Source organism: Homo sapiens, chromosome 7 (genome assembly GCF_000001405.40).
Source record: "Homo sapiens chromosome 7, GRCh38.p14 Primary Assembly".
Taxonomy (NCBI): domain Eukaryota; kingdom Metazoa; phylum Chordata; class Mammalia; order Primates; family Hominidae; genus Homo; species Homo sapiens.
Window position 1 is genome coordinate 129297232 of NC_000007.14, and position 23966 is coordinate 129321197.

The 23966-nt window shown below is 39.3% G+C and overlaps 1 protein-coding gene and 1 long non-coding RNA gene across 7 annotated transcripts in view, besides 1 other annotated feature; both read left to right on the forward strand.

Annotated features, from left to right (window-relative positions):
• Window positions 1-23966, forward strand: part of AHCYL2 (adenosylhomocysteinase like 2) — a 205182-nt gene that overhangs the window by 72202 nt on the left and 109014 nt on the right. The gene's annotated exons all lie outside the window — the stretch shown is intronic.
• Window positions 4518-22641, forward strand: LOC124900234 (uncharacterized). Its single transcript, XR_007060519.1, has 2 exons — window positions 4518-15904; window positions 18717-22641. It is a non-coding gene; the product is annotated as an uncharacterized LOC124900234 (long non-coding RNA).
• Window positions 16803-17003: a silencer, noted in NCBI's record as "peak6717 fragment used in MPRA reporter construct". NCBI's record gives its function as "represses an SCP1 promoter by STARR-seq MPRAs in K562 erythroleukemia cells {active_cell/tissue: K562}" and the evidence as "EXISTENCE:reporter gene assay evidence [ECO:0000049][PMID:32103011]".

Here is a 23966-nt window from a genome sequence, read left to right on the forward strand (position 1 = left end):
GTGCTATGTCCCCTGGTTAATGATGGTGTCAGTGGTTGCCTGTGAGTCCTTTGCACTCTAGTATGCTTTGCTTTGAAGTAAACTTCATCTTAGGACCGGGCTGAGTTGTGCATACTGCTGAAATTAAAGGTACTGAAAAAGCATAGGGTAGACAGGCCCCAAGGGAGAAGCGACTGTTGGGAGCTTTGGAAAACTAGCGAACAGCTCCAGAGCACTGGTGCTTGGGGAGCAGAAGTGTCACATGTTGAGATAGGAAATTTAGAATGCCTTTGCTTGAGACCTAATTGGTCTCCTTCCTCCTATAGACTGCTAGAAATTTCTACGTAGCTCTGGACTACGGGTCCCGAAGTTGGAACCACCATTCTATTCCTGTCATTTGTAGTATGGAAAAGTAACTTTTTTCTTGTTTATAAAATGAGAAAAATTTTTGAGAAGAATTTTTTTTTAATGAGTGAAAGTATATGGTGTTTGATAGGGTAATTGAGAGCTGTAATCAAAATCATTACCTGGCTGGATGCAGTGGCTCATGCTTGTAATCCCAGCACTTTGGGAGGCCAAGGCATGGGAAGATCCTTTGAACCTGGGAGTTTGAGACCAGCCTGGACAACATAGGGAGAGCCAGTCTCTAAAAAAAATTAAAAATTAGCCCGACATGGTGGTGGACTAATCCACTAATAGTGTCAGCTACTCAGGAGTCTTAGGTGGGAGGATTGCTTGAGCTGGGGAGGTTGAGGCTGCAGTGAGCCATGATCCTGCCCCTGCATTCCAGCTTGGGTGACAGCGAGATCCTGTCTCCAAATAAACAAATCATTACCTGCTGAAATAGTCATTCCCAGTTTATATAATCAGATAGCTAGAGGGTAACTATAGACAAGAAAGCCTGTGGTTTAATTTGATAGGAAAGACTCTAACCTCATTGAGAGAAAACGATCAGAAAATATTCCTTTTCTAATGGCAAGAGAGGAAAAACTTATAAATTAGGTTCATATTATATAGGGAGTGGGGTATTCACCAGCCAGCCTATTTCTGATTCCTTAGTGAAATCTGATTTAGGAAATACAAGGTAGCCTGGTTTTATTGTTGAACAAGGGAAGGAGAAAATCACTTTGTCTTATCTAGTTAACTAAATATTTCAAGGTAAGGATATGAAGATAGTTTAAATTTCCGTTACAACTGGTATCAAATTTTGCTTCTCTGCTTTGATTAGAAACTGTCTCCACCTGCTGGCCGCAATTCACTTGGCATTTCATGAGGACACCTGGTTTTTTGTTTTGTTTTCTTGAAACATATAACAGCTATGGAAAGTACTTAGGCAGGGTTGTAGTGACTAAAATACCTCTATGTAGCTTTTCCTAAAATTCCCAGAAGGATTTTGGAGTTTTTTCCTAAACTTTGCTTGGGGGATAATGGAAAAGAAGCAACGTAAGGCCTTACAAGAACCAAACCAAAGCAGCACATTTGCAGTGTTTGTTTGATATTTGTCATTCTACCAAGTGATTTGTCTATTTTATGTATTATATTAAACTGTTTAAGCTTTGTTATTTATAATTAAGGTCATTATTTTCCAAATTGCTGTTAGTTTCACCTCTTTTGCCTGTTTGGAAATAATTATCACAATCATTACTGAATTATACAATAAAATAAAACTTTTCTTGGTCTAAAGGTAGGCAAGCTTTTTCTGTAAAGGCTCAGATGGTAAGTGTTTTAGGCTTTGCAGGCTATATGTTTTTTGTTGTAACTACTCAAACCTGTTATTGTAGCGAAAAAAAGTATATAGGCAATACATAAATGAATGAGTTCCAAAAATACTTAATGGAAACCAAAAATTTGAATTTGATACAATTTCCATGTGCCATGATATATTGTTCTTTTTTAAATTTTTTGACATTTTTGGGGGGAGAATCAGGGACAGACTGGAAATTTTTCAACCATTTAAAAATGTAGAAACTATGGGGCATGGTAGTCCATGTCTGTGATCCCATGGGAAGATCGCTTGAGGCTGGGAGTTTGAGAGCAGCCTGGGAACCATAGCAAGTCCCCTCCTCTACCAAAAAAAAAAAAACAAAAAACTATCCGGGCATAGTGGCTCACCTGTAGTTTCAACTATTCAGGAGGCTGAGGTGGGAGAGTCCAACTTGTTTTTTTTTTTTTTTTTTTTTTTTTTTTTTTTTTTTTTTTTTGAGATGGAGTCTCGCTCTGTCCCCCAGGCTGGAGTGCAGTGGCGCGATCTCGGCTCACTGCAAGCTCCGCCTCCCGGGTTCACGCCATTCTCCTGCCTCAGCCTCCCGAGTAGGTGGGACTACAGGCACCCGCCACCACGCCGTGCTAATTTTTTGTATTTTTAGTAGAGACAGGGTTTCACCATGTTAGCTAGGATGGTGTCGATCTCCTTACCTCGTGATCCACCCGCCTTGGCCTCCCAAAGTGCTGGGATTACAGGCATGAGCCATCACGCCCAGCCAGATTCCAACTTTTAGGAGTACTTCCGTAACAAAGAAAACTTGTCAGAGGGGTGTTGTACCTGTTCCATCTCATCACCAACCACATGGCATAGAAGTACAGAACTTTGTATATGTGGAAGATGATTCTTTACCCACACATGTAGGATCATGACCTGTTGTGGTTTGATTATATACCCACGGTTTAGATAATTTAAGTTCAAAACACTGAAATAATTTTTTAAAGGAGAAGACTCTTTTTAAAATTTTTGAGACCAGCCTGGAAATTTTATACATACAGGAGAAAACTTGAAAAATTTTTTTATTTATTTAAAATTTTTAATTTTCGTGGGTACATAGTAGGTGCATATATTTATGGAGTTTATGGAATATTTGATACAGGCATATGTTGCGCAATAATTACATCAAGGTAAATGAGGGTATCTATCAACTCAACCATTTATCATATTACAATCCTATTATACTCTTTTAGTTATTTTAAAATGTACAATTAAATTATTATTGACTATAGTTACCCTGTTGTGCTATCAGATACCAGATCTTATTCATTCTTCCTGGTTTTTTGTACCCATGAGCCATCCCCGCCTCCCCCCCAGCCTCCTCACTACCCTTCCCAACCTTTGGTAACCATCATTCTACTCTCTATCTCCATGAGTTCAATTCTTTTAATTTTTATCTCCCAGAAATAGGTGAGAATATGCAAAGTTTGTCTTTCTGTGCCTGGCTTATTTCACTTAACATAAGGATATCTACTTTGATTCATGTTGTTGCAAATGACAGGATCTCATTCTTTTTTATGGCTGAATAGTACTCCATTGCTTATATGTACCACATTTAAAAAAATCTATTCGTCTGTTGATGGACACTTAGGTTGCTTCCAAATACTGGCTGTTGTGAACAGTGCTACAACAAACATGGGAGTGCAGATATCTCTTCAATATACTGACTTCCTTTCTTTTGAATATATGTCCAACAGTGGGATTGCTGGATTATATGGTGGTTTTATTTTTAATTTTTTGAGGAGTCTCTAAATTGTTCTTCATAGTGTATGAGGGTTTCCTTTTCTCCATATCCTTGCCAGCATTTGTTATTGCCTGTCTTTTGGATATACGCCATTTCAGCTGTGGCAAGATATTTCATTGTAGTTTTTCTATGTTTTTTTGAGATGGAGTCTCACTCTGTCGCCCAGGCTGGAGCGCAGTGGCACAATCTCAGCTCACTGCAATCTCCACCTCCTGGGTAAGGGATTCTCCTGCCTTGGCCTGCCAAGTAGTTGGGATTACAAATCTGAATAATTTTTGTATTTTTAGTGAAGATGTGGTTTCACCATGTTGGCCAGGCTGATCTCAAACTCCTGACCTCAACTGATCTGCCCACCTTGGCCTCCCTAAGTGCTAGGATTATAGGTGTGAGCCACTGCACCTGGCCTTGAGCATCTTTTCATACACCTGTTTGCCATTTGTATGTCTTTTGAGAAATATCTATTCAGATCTTTTGCCCATTTTTTAATTGAATTATTAGATTTTGTTTCCATAGGGTTGTTTGAGCTCCTTATATATTATGGTTATTAATCCTTTGTCAGATGGATAGTTTGCAAATACTTTCTCCCATTCTGTGGGTTGTGTCTTCACTTTGTTGGTTGTTTCCTTTGCTGTGTAGAAGCTTTTTAACTTGATGTGATCTGATTTGTCCATTTTTGCTTTGGTTCCTGTGCTTGTGGGGTATTTACTCAAGAAATCTTTGCCCACTCCAATGTCCTGGAGAGTTTCCCCAATGTTTTCTTTTGGTAGTTGCATAGTTTGAGGTCTTAGATTTAAATCTTTAATCTATTTTTATTTGATTTTTGTATATGTGAGAGATAGAGGTCTAGTTTTATTCTTCTGCATATGGATATCCAGTTTTCCCAGCACCGTTTATTGAAGAGACTGTTCTTTCCCCAATGTATAGTTTTGGCATGTTTGTCAAAAATGAGTTCACTGTAGATGTATGGATTTGTTTCTGGGTTCTCTATTCTGTTCCATTGGTCTATGTGTCTGTTTTTATGCCAGTACCATGCTGTTTTGGTTACTGTAGCTCTGTAGTATAATTTGAAGTCAGGTCGTGTTATTCCTTCAGTTTTGTTCTTTTTGCCCATGATAGCTTTGACTATTCTGTCACTTTTGTAGTTCTATATAAATTTTAGGATTTTTTTTTTCTATTTCTGTGAAGAATGTTATTGGGATTTGGAATCTATAGATTCAGTGCAATCCCTATTATTACACTGATTCTGCTTTAGGTAGGATGGACATTTTTACAATATTGATTGTTCCAATCCGTGGACATGGAATGTCTTTTTCTTGGTGCAGGGGGTATTCTTTTCAATGTCTTGCATCAGTGTTTTATAGTTTTCATTGTAGATATATTTCACTTATTTGGTTAATTCCTAGGTATTTAATTTTATCTGTAGTTATTATAAATGGCGTTACTTCCTTGATTTCTTTTTCGGATTACTTGCTGTTGGTATATAGAAATGCTAGTGACTTTTGTGTGTTGATTTTACTGAATTTGCTTATCAGTTCTAATAGGTTTTTGGTGGCGTCTTTAGGTTTTTCCAAATATAAGGTCATATCATCTACAAACAAGGATAATGTGACTTCTTCCTTTCCAGTTTGAGTGCCCTTATATCTTTCTCTTGACTCATTGCTCTAGCTAGGACTTCCAGTACTATATTGGATCATAGTGGTGAAAGTGGGCATTGTTGTCATGTTCTAAATCTTAGAGGAAAGGCTTTCAGTTTTTCCCCATTCAGTATGATACTGGCTGTGGGTTGTTGTATATGTTTTATTATGCTGAGGTATGTTTCTTCTATACTCAGTTATTTTTAGGGTTTTTATCATGAAGTGATGTTGAATTTTATCAAATGCTTTTTCAGCATCAGTTGAAATGATCATATGGTTCTTGTCCTTCACTCTGATGATAGGCTGTATCACATTGATTGATTGGTGTATGTTGATCCATCCTTATATCCTTGGGATACATCTCACTTGATCATGATGAATGATCTTTTTAATGTGTTGTTGAATTTGATTTGTTAGTATTTGTTGAGGATTTTTACATAAATGTTCATCAGAGCCTGTAGTTTTCTTTTTTTGGTGTGTCTTTTTCTGATTTTGGTATCAGGGTAATACTGGTCTCATAGAATGAGTTTGGAAGTATTCCTTCCACCTCCATTTTTTGGAATTGTTTGAGTAAGATTGGTGTTAGTTCTTCTTTAAATGTTTGGTAAAATTCAGCAGTGAAGCCATTGGGTCCCAAGCTTTTCTTTGCTGGGATACTTCTTTGTTTTTTGAGATGGACTTTCACTCTTGTTGCCCAGGCTGGAGTGCAATGACGTGATCTTGGCTCACCGCAACCTCTGCCTCCGGGGTTCAAGTAATTCCCCTGCTTCAGCCTCCCAAGTAGCTGCGATTATAGGCATCCGCCACCACACCCGGTTAATTTTGTATTTTTAGTAGAGACTGGTTTCTCCATGTTGGTCAGGCTGGTCTCGAACTCCCAACCTCAGGTGATCTGCCCGCCTTGGCCTCCGAAAGTGCTGGGATTACAGGCATAAGCCACCATGCCTGGCCGACTGAGAGATTTTTAACTTTGACTTTGATCTTGCTACTTGTTATTGATCTGTTTAGGTTTTAGGTTTCTTCATGATTCAATTTTGGGAGGTTGTATGTGTCAAGAAATTTATCCATTTCTTCTAGGTTTTCCAATTTATTGGCATATAATTGCTCATAGTAGCCTCAAATGGTCCTTTGAGTTTCTACAGTATCAGCTGTAATGTCTTCTTTTTCATCTCTGATTTTATTTTGGTCTTCTCATGTTTTTTCTTAGTCTGGCTAAAGGTTTGTCAATTTCATTTATCTTTTCAAAGAAACAATTTTTTATTTTGTTGATATTTTGTATTGTTTTCTTCATTTCAACTTCATTTATTTCTCCTCTGATCTTTATTTATTTTCTACTAACTTTGGGTTTGGTTGGGTCTTGCTTTTCTACTTATTTAAGATGCATTGTTAGGCTATTTATTTGATGCGTTTCTACTTTTTTGATATAGGAACTTATAGCTATAAACTTCCCTCTTTGGCTGGGTGTGGTGGCTCACACCTGTAATCATAGCACTTTGGGAGGCTGAGGCGGGTGAATTGCCTGAGCTCAGGAGTTCCAGACCAGCCTAGGCAACATGGTGAAACCCTGTCTCTACTAAAAATACAAAAAATTAGTCGGGCATTGGTGGTGCATGCCTGTAATCCCAGCTACTCAGGAGGCTGAGGCGCAAGACTCACTTGAACCTGGGAGCTGGAGGTTGCATTGAGCTGACACAAGACTGTCTCAAAAAATAAAAAATAAAATAAAAATAAATAAATAAACAAACAAACTTCCCTCTTAGTACTGCTTTAGCTGTATCCCATAGGTTTGGGTATGTTATGTTTCCATTATCATTTGTTTCAAGAAATTCCTTCATGTTTGTACCATTTCCAAAATTCTTGTTATTGATTTCTAGTTTTATTCCATTGTGGTCAGAAAATGCTTGATATTACTTCAGTTTTTTGAGTGTTTTAAGACTTGTCTTGTGACCTAACATATAATCTGTCCTTGAGAATGATCCATGTACTGAGGAGAAGAATGTGTATTTTGCAGCCATTGGATGAAATGTTCTGTAAATATCTATTAGGTCCATTTGGTTTGTAGTGCAGATTAAGTCCAGTGTTTCTTTGTTGATTTTCTGTCTGGATGATCTGTCCGATGCTGAAAATGGGATGTTGAAGTCTCTAGCTAGCTATTGTTTTGGAGTCTTATCTATTTAGCTCTAATAATACTTCCTTTATATATCTGGGTGCTCCAGTGTTGGGTACATATATATTTAAAATGGCTACATCTTCTTGCTGAATTAACCCCTTTATCATTATATAATGACCTTTTTCTGTCTCTTTTTGTAGTTTTTGTCTTGAAATCTATTTTGTCTGATACAAATACAGTTAGTCTTGCTCTTTTTTGGTTTCCATTGATATGGAATATTTTTTTTCATCCTTTCATTTTCACTCTATATGTTTCTTTAAAGGTGAAGTGTGTTTCTTGTAGGCAACAGATCATTGAATCTTGCTTTTTTATCCATTCAGCCACTCTATGTCTTTTGATTGGGGAGTTTAGTCCATTTACATTCAATGTTATTATTAATAAGTAGGGACTTACTCCTGCCATTTTATTTGTTTTCTGGTTTTTTTTTTGGTCTTCTCTTTCTTCTTTTCTTCCTTCCTATTTTCCTTTTAGTGGATGTGATTTTCTCTGGTGGTATGTTTTAATTTCTCCCTTTTTATTTTTTGCATATCCACTATATGTTTTTAGATTTGTGGTTACCATGAAGTTTGCAAATAATATCTTATAACCCATTATTTTAAACTGATGACAACACCGATTGTATAAACAGACAAGCAAAAAAACTAATAAAAACTTTATACTTAGGCCGGGCATGGTGGCTCATGCCTGTAATCCCAGCACTTTGGGAGGCCGAGGCGGGCAGATCACGAGGTCAAGAGATTGAGACCATCTTGGTCAACAAGGTGAAACCCCGTCTCTACTAAAAATACAAAAATTAGCTGAGCATGGTGGCACGTGCCTGTAGTCCCAGCTACTTGGGAGGCTGAGGCAGCAGAATCGCTTGAATCCGGGAGGCAGAGGTTGCAGTGAACTGAAATCGTGCCACTGGACTCCAGTCTGGGTGACAGAGCAATAATCCATCTCAAAAACAAACAAACAAACAAAAAAAAACACTTTATACTTTAACTTCATACCCCCCACTTTCTAATTTTTTGTTGTTTCTATTTATATCTTATTGTACTGTGTCTTGAAAAGTTGTAGTTATTATTTTTGATCAGTTCATCTTTCTTCTGAAATATGAGTTTACATACCACAATTACCTAAGTTCAAAAACACTTGAATCTGTGTTCTTCTGTGTACTATTACCAGTGAGTTTTATACCTTCAGATGATTTCTTATTGATCATTAGCATCCTCTTCTTTCAGATTGAAGAACTCACTTTAGTGTTTCGTATAAGACAGGTCTGGTGTTGATGAAATCCTTTAGCTTTTGTATGTCTGGGAAAGTCTTTATTTCTCCTTCATGTTTGAAGCATATTTTCACTGGATATACTGTTCTAGGATAAAAGATTTTTCCTTCAACACTTTAAATATGTCATGCCACTCTCTCCTGGCCTGTAAGGTTTCCACTGAGAGGTCTGCTGGCAGATGTATTTGGAGCTCCATTGTATGTTGTTTCTTTTCTCTTCCTGCTTTTAGGATCCTTTCTCTATCCTTGACCTTTGGGAGTTTGGATATTAAGTGCTTTGAGGTAGTCGTCCTTGGATTAAATCTGCTTGGTGTTCTAGAACCTTCTTGTACTTGAATACTGATATCTTTCTCTAGGCTTGGGAAGTTCTCTATTGTTATCCCTTTGAATGTACTTTCTATGTCTGTCTCTACCTTCTCTTTAAGGCCAATAACTCTTATATTTGCCCTTTTGAGGCTATGTTCTAGATCTTGTCGGTGTGCTTTATTCTTTTGTATTCTTTTTTCTTTTGTCTCCTCTGGGTGTGTGTTTTCAAATAGCCTGTCTTCAGGCTCACAGTTCTTCTGCTTGAGCAATTCTGCTATTAAGAGACTCTGATGCATTCTTCAGTGTGTCAATTGTATTTTTCCACTACAGAATTTCTGCTTTATTCTTTTTTTAATTATTTCAATTTCATCGTTAAGTTTATCTGATAAGATTCTGAATTCTTTCTTATGTCATCTCGAATTTCTTTGAGTTTCCTCAAAACAGTTATTTTGAATTCTGTCTGAAAGGTCACATATCTCTGTTTCTCTGAGATTGGCCTCTGATGCCTAACTTTGTTTGTTTGGTCAGATCATGTTTTCCTCCTGGTCTTGATGCTTGTGGATGTTTGTCAGTGTCTGGGCATTGAAGAGTTGGGTATTTGTTGACTTCTTAGCAATCTGGGCTTATTTGTACCTGTGCTTCTTGGGAAGGCTTTCCAGATATTCAAAGGGACTTGGGTGTTGAGATCTGTTTTTGGTCACTGCAGCCATATCTGCATTAAGTGGCACCCCAAACCCAGTAATGCTGTAGTTCATACAGACTCGTAGAGGTATCACCTCGATGGTCTTGGGTAAGATCCAGATGAATTCTCTGGATTACCAGGCAGAGACTCTTGTTACCTTACTTTCTTCCAAACAAACGGAGTCTCTCTCTGTCTCTGTGCTGAACTGCCTGGACCTAGGGGTGAGGTAACACAAGCAGCCCTGTGGCCACCAACACTGGGACGCATTGGGTCAGTCCTGAAGCCAGTAAAGTGTTGAATCTTGTCCAGGGGGTGCTGTGACCACTACCTGGCTGCTGCGTATGTTCACTCAAGGCCTTAGGGCTCTACAGTCAGCAGGTAGTGAAGCCAGCTAGTCTTGTGCCTTTCCCTTCAGGGTGGCAAGTTCCCTTGGGCCCTGGGCAAGTCCAGAGATGCTGTTCAGGAGCCAGCGCTTGGAGTTGGAAACCTTAGAAAGAAATCTACTTGGTGCCCTATTCCATTGCAGCTATGCTGGCAGTGAAACCACAAGACAAATCCTTCCTATTCTTCCCTACCCTTTCCCCAGGCAGAGGAGTCTCTTCCCATGTCCACCACCACCACCACAGGCCTATGAGTACCAGGGCACCACTGATGTTCACTTAAGGCCCAAGGGCTCTTCAGTCAGCTTGTGGTGAATGCTGCCAGGCCTAGAACTCACCCTTCAGGGCAGTGGGCTCCCCTCTGGCTCAGGGTAGGTCTAGAAATGCAATGCAAGAGCCAAGGCCTGGAATCAGGGACCCCAAGAGCCTGTTTGGTACTCTTCCCCACTTTGACTGAACTGGTACCTAAGCTGCAAGACAAAGTCTCCTTTATTCTTTCCTCTCCATTTCTCAAGCAGAAGGATTCTCTCCTCATAGCCAACACAGTCGTGAATTTGCTGGGACACACCTGAAGTCAGCATGGCTCAAGAGTCTTACCTAAGACCCATGGCAGGTCCTAGCTGGTTGCCGCTGCTGATTATTTAGAGCCCAAGGGCTGTTTAGTCAGCAGGTGATGAATCCTGCCAGGACTGTTTCCCTTCTGGCCTAAGATATGTCTAGAAATGTCCGGGAGCTAGGGCCTGGAATGGGACCTTATGATCCTGCCTGGTGCTCTTTCCTACTGTGGCTGAACTGGTATCTAAGTTGTAAAACAACATCCTCTTTACTCTTCCTTCTCCTCTCCTCAAGCAGAAGAAAGGGGTCTCTTCTGAAGCTGGGAGCTTCAAGCTGCACTGCCTTGGGTTGAGGGAGGGGTGACGCAAGCACTCCCTTAGCCACCCTGGCTGACATCTCACTAAGTTATGTGCCCCTCAAGTCCCCTGGCTCCAAGCCCAGCACAGCACTAGGACTTGCCCAGGAGTTGTAGTCCTAGTGGCCTAGACAGCCTTTCAAGTTTACTTAGAACCCCAGAGCACTTTAGCCCATGGTAGCAGGCCTTATGGAAGTTACAGATATGACTGCTGGGTTGGGTGATTCCCCTCTGGCTAGGGCTTTTCTGAATGCTCCCTCTGTGGGTACCTGCTGAGTCCTGTCTGGTGTTGCCAGCACTGAGTTCCAATGCAAAGTTGCACAATCACTGAGCTCTCCCTGCCACAGCATACAGATTGCCCATGTGGGTGCTGCCAGGGGATGGGAGAGGGGTGTTGTTGCATTTCAAGATTGTTTTTCCTGCCTTTTTCAGTACCTCTTTCAGTGATATGTAGTTAAAACCAGGTACTGTGATTGCTCACATGATTTTGATTCTAATTGAAGGTGCTTTTTTTGTGTAGATAGTTGTTAAATTTGGTGTTCCTGCAGGGAGGATGATCAGTGGAGACTTCTATTCAGCTATCTTACTCCATGTCTTCTCAGGAGAAGATTCTTTATGTTCATTTAAAAAACAGAAACATTCAGATAGTAGAATTATTCTAAGACAGTTTCAAAAAAGAAACTATCATTACAACTGAAGAATAATTTGCTATAGTGAGGAGCATGTGGGGTTGGTATTGGGTGCCCTGGGCCACATGATCTGGGCAGCATGGTATGGATCATTCATTATAATTTCAGTGTGATGTCACTGTGGTCATGTGGTGGTTCTTAGTCTATTTTGGAAGATAACTATTTTAAAACATTGAATTAAAAATATTTATGGTTATGGGCTGGGCACAGTGGCTCATGTCTGTAATCCCAGCACTTTGGGAGGCTGAGACCAGGCAGATCACCTGAAGTCAGGAGTTCGAGACCAGCCTGGCCAACATGGTGAAACCCCGTCTCTACTAAAAATACAAAAATTAGCCGGGCGTGGCGGCGGGCACCTGTAATCCCAGCTACTTGGGAGGCTGAGTCAGGAGAATCACTTGAACCCAGGAGGTGGAGGTTGCAGTGAGCTGAGATCATGCCACTGCACTCTAGCCTGGGCGACAGAGCAAGACTTCGTCTCAAAACAACAACAAAAATTATGGTTATGTCAGGTACAGTGGCTCACACCTGTAATCCCAGCACTTTGGGAGGCCAAGATGGGAGGATCACTTGAGGCTAAGAGTTTGAGATCAGTCTAGAAAACATAGTGAGATTCCATCTCTACAAAAAGTTTAAAAATTAGCTGGGTGTGGTAGGTACATGCCTGTAGTCCCAGCTACGTGGGAGGTTAAGGTGAGAGGATCACTTGAGCCTAGGAGTTTGAGGCTGCAGTGAGATGTGATCACACCACTGCACTCCAGCCTGGGCAACAGAGCAAGACCTTGTCTCAAAATAAATAAATGAAAGAAAAGAAAATTTATGGTTACAAATGGTTCATCATTTTAGTTTGTCACATATAAATATCTTCTATTCTTTTGGTTCTTGTCCGCTGCCAGCCCCCGCATTCCTGGATCAATTTTACAGTCTGCCTTCTCTGTTTCTGCCTGTGCCTTAAAAACTGAGTGCTATAAAGTTATGGAATTGCTGCCTCTCTAAGCTCATGTCTCTAAATTCCAATCTCATTTGAGTTCTCTTTACCAGTCACCATTTTTTTTTTTAATTTTACGTTGGTTGGTTCCCTTTGCCTTTTCCTTCAGCAGCTGTTACAGACTTCTACTCATCTCAGACCCCTTCCTAATCTCTGTCTCATTGTCATACAACCCACCTTGGATCTGGGACACCAAAAAGTTTAGGCTTTCTCTTGTGAACTCTTTCAACTTCCTTCTGACTTTCTCATTACATGTCTCTGTTTGACCTCATTTTTACCTTTTTCCTTTCTGTCCCAGAGGAAGAGGTTTAGCTCTTCCCATTTTAGATAGTTGTGACATCTGTCTAAATATATGATTCTTGATACCATCTCATCCACCTCCTTGGTGACTTAATAACATCATTTATATCCTTGATCTTCAGTCTTTCCCTCTCCATTAACTTCATTCCCATTTAAAAAAAAGAAAAAAGATGACAAAATAGACCCCATAAATCTCTAATCCTATCTATATATACTCTTTTAGATTTATCATTTCATTTTCTGTTTGGTAATAGAGCATTTATGGTCACCTTTTCTCTGAAACCATGCTTGCTAAGATCACCAAGGATCTCCTGTCAAATCATTCATTCTTTCAGTGGAATCACCAGGGAGTTTATATGAAGTGATGGAGACAAGGCTGAGAATGGACCCCAATGGACATCAACATTTGAGGGAATTGGTGAAGGAAAAGATAATGAAGGAAATTAGAAGCCAGGGTTGAAGGAGAAAGCCAGGAGAGTGTGGTATTCCAAAAAGAAGAGAGTTTTTAAGAAGGAGGGGAATTAAGTGTTAAATGCTATACAGATGTAAAATAAAATCAGTATTGAAAATAATTCACTGAATTTAGCAGCAAAGCAGTGAAGTGTTAGGATAGTTGGTAAGGTTAAATTGCACTGGTGAGAGACATTATTTGTAGGGAAGCAAAACAAGCTGGGGTAGAAAACTGTTTTGAAAATATTGACTGTGAAGAATAAGGGAGTTAGAGTTGCTGGAGAGGGTTGCAAGCTCTAGGGAAAATGTTTTTTAAAGCAGTATATAACAGACTTGATGGGCCAGGCGTGGTGGGTCATGCTTGTAATTCTAGCACTTTGGGAGGCTGATGTGGGCATATCACTTTGAGCTCAGGAGTTTGAGTCCAGCCTGGGCAACATGGTGAAACCCTGTTTCTACAAAAATTACAATTAGCCAGGTGTGGTGGCTCACACCTGCAGTCCCAGCTACTCAGGAGGCTGAGGCTAGAGAATTGTTTGAGCCCAGGAAACAGAGGTTGTAGTGAGCCAAGATCACACCACTGCACTCCAGCCTGGGCAAGAGTGAAACCCTGTCTCAAAAAAAAAAAAAAATGTACGACAGACTTGAATATGTTTAGGTGCCTATGGAAGAGAGTTTGGAGAGGAAGAAAGCAAGATTGGAAGAAGAAGGGAATAAAAATGGACTGAAGTCCTTGAAAAGAAAGAAAGGAACATGATTCAAAGCATGAATAGGACGATTGGCCTTATTTACATAGAAACAGGATATCTTATACAGTAAGAGACCTATTAATATGGGATGCCATGGGGCCAGTCCTTGAATAAGTTCATCTCTTTTCTGTCATGGTGATCGTACCTATTCCTGTGGTTTTAAATATCATCTAACCTAAATGCTGACAAGTCCCAAACTCTCCTGAATTCCAGACTTGCATCTCTAACTGCCATCTTTATATGTTCTCTCAGGTGTCTGTAAACATTTCAAAACTTAGCATGTCAAAACTGAATTCCTCTGAAACTTACTTCTTCTACACTCTGGTCTTAACCCCACCCCCCACCGCGCCAGCAACTTGGGCAGAAAGTCCTATTGTCATTGTTGACTACCCTCTCTAATACTAATCTGTCAGCAAATCCTTTTGGCTCTACTTTCAATATATTCATAGTCTAACCACTTCTCACCACTTTGGTCTAAGCCACACTGTCACATCTTACGTGGATTATTGCATAGCCTTCCAGATGGTCTCTGCTTCTTTATTGCTGTTTCCGTCGTCTGTTTTCAGTTTATAGCTGGAGGGAACTTGTTAAAACCTATGTCAGATCATGTCACTGTTAGGTTCTGACTCTTGCAGTGGCTTCTCATGTCATGGATAATGAAAGGCAACGGCCTTAAAATTGACTATAATTATATTAAACTATGAACTCTTACTTATATTTCTCCTTGTTCATTCTGCTACACTCTTTTTTTTCTTCTTCTTTTGGAGACAACGTTTCGCTCTTGTCATTGCCCCAGGCTGGAGTACAGTGGTGCAGTCACAGCTCACTGTAGCCTCGACCTCTTGGGCTCAGGCAGTCCTCCCACCTCAGCCTCCTGAGTAGCTGGGACCAGGCTGGAGTGCAGTGGCGTGATCACGGCTCACTGTAGTCTCTACCTGTTGGGCTTAAGTGATTCTCTCAGCTCAACCTCCTGAGTAGCTGGGACCACAAGCGTTCACCACCATGCCTGGCTAATTCTGAAATTTTTTTGTAGATACAGGGTCTCCCTGTGTTGCCCAGGCTAGTCTTCAACTACTGGATTCAAGTGATCCTCCTGCTTCAGCCTCCCAAAGTGCTGGGATTACAGGCATGAGCCATTGCACCCAGCCTCCTTCATTTTCTTTTCTTTCTTTCTTTTTGTTGTCTTTTAGAGATGGAGTTTTGCTCTGTTACTCAGGCTGGTGTGCAGTGGTGCCATCATAGCTCACTGCAGCCTCGAATTTCTGGGCCTAGTCCATCCTCCTGCCTTAGCCTCCCAAGTAGCTGTGATTACAGGTGTGAGCCACTATGCTCAGCTCTGCTACACTCCTTCAGATCTCTAGTTCTTAATAGTTTTTAGTCAGGAGGTCAATATACAAGATTACCTTTTTGCTACAGTTACCTATAACTATTTAGACTTTTTTTATTTGAAAAAATTGAGGTGTAAAATACACAGATATTAAGTCTACAGCATATATAACACCATCCACATTGAGACATTGAACGTTCTCATCTCTCTAGAACATTCTTGTATACTCTTTCCCTGTCAGAAGCTCCCTGCCTCTCACCCCCACCCGTATGTAACCACTATTCAGACTTACATCACCCCATAAATTAGGTTTTCTGTTTCTAAACTTGAGCCCTACTTATTTAATACTGTTAGGTGTAATACTATAGCCTGACCCTCTTCACCAATCCCTGCTTCTGCACTTGCTACTTTTTACCCTGCAGTACTTTTTCTTTCTTCTGTCTCTCTTAACCACTTTCTAACATATAATTTAATATGTTTGATATTTATTGTCTCTCTCCTAGAATCTAAGCTGTACAAGGGCAGGGATTTTTGTTCTGCTACAACCACCCAAAACAGTCCCTAATACACAGTAAGTGTTCGATAAATATTAGTGAAATGAATGAATGAGAGGTCTGGTGAATGGATATAAATTTGTAGGCAATCCAGATGGGAGGATTCAGAAATTGAAGAAAATCTCATGTTGTATTTTTGTTTTTAGAGAATAAGGGATAAAATTGTCTTTTGGGAGTACAGAGGAGGTGATAGGATTGGGGTTTTGAAGACAGTGAAGGAAGTTTGAAATGTTAGAAGCATGGGAGATTGAGGATTTGGGCAATGTAGATTTATTGCTTATTGTTGGAGGCTCAGTGTTCTGGCCGTGAGTGTGGTTCATGTAATACCAGCCAATGTGGTTGAATGACTTACTTCAGCAGAACTTAGCTCAGGTGTAGAAACAGAGAAAGTTGACAGTGTTTTTTGCTGTGTAGTTTCAGTGGACAGCCAGACAGACAAAGGAGTTAGCCAGATACTGACTGAAGTGATAATACCTTGAGTTTTGGCTAGCCTGAGAAAGAAGCGATAGTCAAGAAAAACAGATTGGGATAGTACAAAAGGATCGTTTCCAGAGGTATGGTTGAGTTCAAACTATTTCCAAATAGACACAATGAAAAAAATAGAATGGGATATTGATAAAAGGATTAGCAGTTGTCATAAAAGTTAAGATACCATAGTTGATTGGTTTTAAGGAATACTTTCTTTTCCATTTTAACATTTCTAAAGTTGAGATGCCAGTTTAATTGGTAACACTTTCTTTTTACTATTATGTGAAATGATGGTGAGTCTTCCAATTAATGGCAGATTTGATAAAATACAGTATTTGAATGTTAGATTCCAGAAATGTAGCATTTATAGGTACTGACAAGGTTACCAGGGCACAGCCATTAGAGAATATAACTAAAAAGGAGTCGAGATCAAGTATCTGGTTAGATAAATTATGCCCATGGACTTCAAAGACCCAGAGTCATGAGCTAGTTGTAAGAGTTTTCAGCAAATGACATGGAGTGACTAGAGGTAGCAGATGGCAGCATAGAAATAGGTAGATAGGAAAATTCACCTTCAAGTCATCCCTTCTAGTCTCATGTGTCACTTTCTCAGAGGTCTTCCCATAAATCTCCTCTCCTCAAGTCTAACTATGGTTTTCCTCTGTACTGTCTCATAATATCTTATACTTTTTCTTGTGTAATTCTTTATTCATTTCTAATTAATCTTTTATTATATGATTATATTATGTTTTTCTTTCACCAGATTGTAAACTCATTGACTGTAGGAATTGTTTTTGTGCATTGCCTAGCACATTGTCTTAGCCCATTCAGGCTGTATACAAACTACCATAGACTGGGTGACTTAAAAACAACAGTTTATTTCTCATAGTTCTGGAGACCAGGAAGTTCAAGAACAAGGCACCAATAGATTCAGTTTCTGGTTAGGGCCCACTTCCTGGTTCATAGAGAGCCATCCTCTAGCCATGTCCTTGCATAGTGGAAGGGATGAGAGAGCTCTCAGCTCTCTTTTATAAGGGCACTAATCCCATTCAGTCCTCATGACCTAATCATTTCCCAAAGGCCTCACTTCCAAATACCAACACATTGGAGATTAGGTTTCAACATATGAATTTGGGATGGGAGTGGGGTGGGGACACATAGGACACACTCTAGGCACTGAATAAATGAATTGAAATAGAGAACGTAAGCTGTCTGTGACCAGATTAAGGATATAGTACTCTGGAATAAGGTTCTAGAAGCCACAATGGCAGTACAGAGTACATTTTACTAAATTTGATTCTGTTTCAGTGGTTGGCTTATTTGCTGCTTTTTTTAGCTTTATCTGTTTTCTCTGAGCCTCAGTTTCCTCCTGTTAGATTAAGATACTAATGCCTATTTAACAGGGTTATGGTAACCATTAAGTGAGTTTAGTATGGAAAGCACATCATACAGCACCTACCACATAGTTGGTGCTCTGTAAGTGATAGGCTGAAATGGCCATCTTCATTTTTTTCCTTCTGAAAAAAACCCTATGTCTTACCTGGACTATTGCAGCTGACACCTGACAGTCTTGCTTTTGTCCCTCCTCCCTCTCTTTTCTTCTCTACACTTATGTTGAATAATTCTTCTAAAATATTGATCATGTAATCTTCCCTTTTTGTATTTCTATAACGTCTGCTCATTGCTTGCATGATCAAGTTCAAACTCCTTGGCTTGGAATTCAAAGCACTTCAGGGTCCAGTACCTTGGTTCTTTCCTAATCCCCTACTGTCCTGTGCTGCCATTTCTCTCCTGCCTTTCCTGTTATACTCCAGCAACATCATGTCATTTGTTTCCCTTGCATCCCACATGTTCAGCACTCTGCCTTTGCTCTGGAATTTCTCTCTGATTGAAATGTCCTCCTCCTAGGTCTGATGGAGTCCTATTCATTCTTAAAGTTACCACCTTTCCCAACCTTTATATATTTTCCTATAATTGCGTGATTACACTGTGTTATAAATGTAAATTTACATGTCTTTCTTTAAACAAGACTGTGAGTTGCTTGAGGGCAAAAGCTATGTATTTACCTTTATCCACAACACCTGTATCCTAGTGGGTGATTAGTAAAAGTTGATTGAACCAAAGGGACTGTGGAGAGTTTACAACCTATTTATTTTACTTAAAACAGTTACTCGAAGGAGGAGATAGGTTTGAGTGTAGGTTTAACAGGGAAAAAATCTTAGGTGGGAATCCAGTAGAGAGGGGAGAAAATGGTCAGTTATGAAAATTAGCCGTCAGCCATTTTAGTACTAATGTCAGGCTGAAATATGAACAATATTCATTGGAAATTAACAATAGGACACAATTCTACTCTTGTTTCAGAGGCGGAAGAGGAGATGCAAGAGATCTGACAGAAAAAACTAAATGAAACCCCAGAGGGCCAGAGAGACTTGACAGAAATGGCAGATAACAAACTTGGTTTGGGCTTGAAATGTGATCTAGCAGTCAAAGGAAAGCCAGTGCTATTCTGGGCAGCTAACAAAGAAGAATTGTGCCACGGCATAGGGAGTTGGCAAGAGCCCACCGGGAGTATTACATTTAGCACAGTGTCAGCATGATAGAAACAGAAGGTGGTGAGCTCTGAGAGCAACTGTAGTGCTGAGGGGGATAAATACATGAATTTATGAAGATCAGTTAACAAATTCAAGCATGCAGGGTTGACTGAATTCCAACTACAAGATCCAGGAGAGACACTCCCAAATATTTGAAGGGTGTTAACATTGGAAGAAGAGAAGAATTATTTAGCCTGGACTACAGAACTTTGTAAGAAGGTGAAACCAAGGGCAGGGCAAATTTATACCTCTCTAAAAGAAATGCCCTGATGTAGTTTTTGGGTGATTCGGGTGCCTTCATCCCTCAGGACTTTTTGTAGTATGAAGCTGTAAGGCCAAAATGAAGGATTTGAGAGTTCTTTCTCTGGAGAAATGGTTGAGAAATATTTTGGTCTTGTGAATAAAGAGTTTTTGTCCCAGAGACAGGTTATGAAGGATTGATTTAATATTTATTAGCCATGCACAGTATATTAAGCACTGTATACAACACAGTACATAGTTCTTGAGGTTCTGAAATAAAATGACTGGCCATTATATGCTTTATGCATTCTCAGTGTGTTTCAGTAGTTTAGAAACTTTGGCAAATTTCCTAAGACTTTCCCTTTGGAATAGAATGATGGAGGAATTCGGCCAAATGTAAATGTAAAACAACAACAACAACAACAGATGAAATCCTATTGAAACGAATGTTTCCTTTCACAAGATGGCAAAACATATATCCTTGAGTCGGGAGTTTCCTCAGTGATGGGGATGAAGAAGCCTTGAGCTGATAACACGATAACATGTTTGTTCTTCAGGATATTTTAAATGCCAGATAGAGGTGCTATATTGTCTTCATTGCGGGCCAGGTCTCTGTTATTTCTCAGTTCAAGATAGGTCAAGGGAAAATTCGTTGATTCACTTAGAGACAGTTCTGTTTCCTGAGGCAAAGGTACTTGAATTTTCAAGTGAAATGGCCAAAAAGCCCACAGTATACTTAGATTTTTTTAAAAAGCTTATATCTCTTCTTTTACATCTGGGCTTCTTGACTTCCATCTGCTTGTCTACAGAAGCCATCATGTGATTTTAAAGATAATGTTGGGTATGAAGAATGTGGAGTCAGGTTCTATTTAACTAGGCAATTGAGTCTTTCCTCAATTAACTAAATTATCTTATGCTCCCTGTGTCAGTGTGGATCCTCCAAGACAGACTTAGAGGCATAAAATTTATTGAACCACAAACAATCAATTGGGAGGGAGCCAGGAGTAGGCAGGGAGAGCTTTTTGAATATGGTGCAAGTCTAATACCTGTGAAGGAAGACCGGGAAGAAAAGGCTGGGTAGGAAATCTTGCAGACCACAGCATAGTTGAGAAAATCCCAGCCATGCAGATGTAGAGTCCCCAGGCAAAAGTTGCTTGTTAGCAGAATCCCGTATGGGGCAGGTGGGCAGGCACTACTACCCCTGCCTTGCTCAGTCACTGGCTGGGAGCAGCTTAGGCAAAGAGTGCTTTCAGTGTTCATGGGGTTGGTGGCTAGAGGCTGAACTGTGGTCCATACAATAGGTTCTCTTGAAGCAGATCTGAGCAACACATCTTCTTGGTTACTACACTTCCCTAGCAAGCTTATTTATTCATTTCATGACAAGGTTCACCAAGTTTTAATGTGTCTTGCCATATAACATTTACAATAGCATAATAAATACTAGGGAAGATAGAAATAAAAGTAGAAACTCAAAGAACTAACTATTACTATTCCTCTAGATAAACAAAAATTTTCTGGGGTATTTTTCAAGGAGGATTCACACTGAAAATACTGAGTGATAATGACTTCATTGTCTATAATACTCGTGCAATAAATATATTTAGTTGTTTTATTTTCTAATGGCTCTTTTATGTAGTGTGTTTTGAGAAAACCCAAGGGTTTAACATTATAACACAACTCATTGATGATAAGTATGTGGAAGCTAAGATTATATGGAAGAGTCAGGTAGCTGACAGTCTGTATGGTTAGTATGGAGAATAGATCTCTGAATTTTCAGAGAAGGAAATGGACTGAACAGCATTTAAATAATCTTGCATAAATATGACTTCTATCAAACAAATTTTGTGTTATTCTTTTTTTAAGAGACAGGTCTTGCTATGTTGCCATGGCTGGACTTAAACTTCTGGGCTCAAGTGATCCTTCCGCCTCATGCTCTTGAGTAGCTGGGACTACAGGCATGTGCCACTGTGCCCAGCTTATAAAACAAAATTTTGGTAAAAAGCTTGAAACAACAGACTATTCAAAATTATATTCCTTAAAATAGAAAGTCTATTAACAGACCCAAAACATATGTAATATAAGATAAAGGTGGCATTTTAAATCCATGGTGGTGGGTAAGATTGTGGAAGATAACGGATTATTTAGTAAATGGTGTAGAGAAATTTGGGTAGCCAATATGGAAAATAAACTCGTCTCCATACCTCACATTTTATATTAGGAAAAATTCCAAATGGATCAAATATTAAATGTAAGAAATGGAACTGTGGTCCTAGTAAAGTACTAAAAGAAACCATGGGAGAATTAAAAAACATAATTGTGTATAGTATAGTGTGATAAAATATTCCAGAAGCCACAAAAGAATAGACTGTATTTTTTTTTTTTAATTTCAGTAAGTTTTGGGGGAACAGGTGGTGGTTGGTTACATGGATAAGTTCTTTAGTGGTGATTTCTGAGATTTTGGTACACCCATCACCTGAGCCAGACAGTAAATTCGACTATATAATTTTTTTTTTTAATTTGGGGGTAGGGGATGGTGGCATGGCAAAAACTACTATAAGCAAAGTTAAAAGACAAGTGAGAAACTGGGGAAAATATTTGCAACTCACAAAGGGCTGATTTCCCTAATATATAAAGAACTCTAAAAATCAGTGAGAAAAACAAGAATAATCCAGTAGAAATAATGGGCAAAGAATGTGAACAGATAGTTTAGAAGAAATGAAATACAAATGTCACTTAAACTCATGAAAATAAACACAGGCTGGGCACAGTGGCTCACACCTGTAATCCCAGCACTTTGGGAGGCCAAGGCAGGTGGATCACTTGAGGTCAGGAGTTCAAGACCAACCTGGGCAACATGGTGACACCTGTCTCTACTAAAAATATAAAAATTAGCCAGGCCTGGTGGTGCCCACCTGTAATCCCAACTACGTAGGAGGCTCAGGCAATCCCTTGAACCCAGAAGGCAGAGGTTGCAGTGAGCCAAGATCACACCACTGCACTCCAGCCTGGGCAACAGAGTGAGACTCTGTCGCAAAAAAAAAAAAGAAAAAAGAAAATAATCACTGTCTAACTCTTGATTAGGGGAATGCACATAAAAACTACTCAGAGATACTATTTTGATGTCTCAGATTAGCAAGTACCTGGAAATTTGGTAATAAACTCTATTAGAGAATATGTGGGGAAGCAGACGCATGTTGGCAATTACTTATCTGCTGTCTTACCACAATAGATTTGTTTGCATTTTCTAGAATCTTAAACATACAATATGAACTCTTATCTGGCTTCCTTCACTCAGCAAAATTATTTTGAGATTCATTCACGTTACAGCACGTATCAATAGTTCATTCGTTTATAACTGAATGGATATACTGCAATTTGTTATCAGGTTTACTGTTGATGGACATTTGGGTGGTTTTCAATATGAGGCTATTACAAATAAAGCTGTTGTAAACATCCGTGAACAAGTCTTTGTATATACATATGCTTTCATTTTTTTTTTTAGGTAAATACAAAGGAGTGTAATAGCTGGGTCTTATGGCAGATTTATGTTTAGCTTTTATTAAAAACTGCAAACTGGTTTTTAAATTGGTTGTATTGTTTTATATTCATGACAATAGTATGTGAGAATTCCCATTTCTCCACATTTTAGTCGTTCTAATGGGTGTGTAGTGGTTTTTGTGTTTAATTTGCAATTCCATAATGTCTGATGATAAATCCATGTGCTTTTATTTTTATTTATCTTTGTAAAAGTGTGGGTGTCTTTTTGCCTAATTTTTAATTGGGTTGTTTGTCTTTTTGTTGTAAGTGTTCTTTATATGTTCTAAATATATAAATACATTGCCACATAATATATTTTGTAAATATTTTCTACCAGTCTGTTTGGCACAGTGTCTTTTTATCACTGTTTGTTTGTTTGTTTGAGATAGAGTCTTCTTCTGTCACCTAGGCTGCAGTGCAATGGCACGTCTCGGCTACTGCAACCTCTGCCTCCTGGGTTCAAGCGATTCTCCTGTGTCAGCCTCCTAAGTAGCTGGGATTACAGGTGCATGTCACCATGCATAGCTAATTTTTGTATTTTTAGTAGAGATGCGGTTTCACCATGTTAGCCAGGTTGGTCTCGAACTCCTGACCTCAAGTGATCCACCGCCCATCCCAAAGTCTTGGGATTACAGGCGGGAGCCACCACGTCTGGCCTTATCACAGTTTTTAAAAAAATTGAGATATAAATAATATGCCATAAAATCTTCCTTTTTGAAGTTCAGTGGTTTTTAGTATATTCACAAGGTTGTACAACCATCAGCATCATCTGATTCCAGAACATTTTTGCCATCCTCTAAATAAATTCCCCTACCCATTAGTGGTGGTATTTTCCTCCCCCCAGCCCCTGGCAACCACTAACCTACTTTCTGTCTCTCGATTTGCTGATTCTGGACTTTCATATAAATGGAATCATACAATGTATGATCTTTTGTGTCTGGCTTCTTTGACTTAGCACATATCATTACTTCATTCCTTTTTATTGCCAAGTAATGTTACATTGTATGGATATACATTTTGTTTATCCAGTCATCAGTTGATGCACATTTGTAAAACACAATGTCTGTATCTTAACCTTGAATCCTACAACCAAGCTAGACTCATATTAGCTTTAGTACAGTTTTTTTTGTAAATTCCATAGGTTTTCTACATACATAATTGTTTCACCTGTAAAGACAATTTTACTTTTTTCTTTCCAATTTGATTCCTTTTATTTCCTTTTTTTATTGCACTGATTAGAACT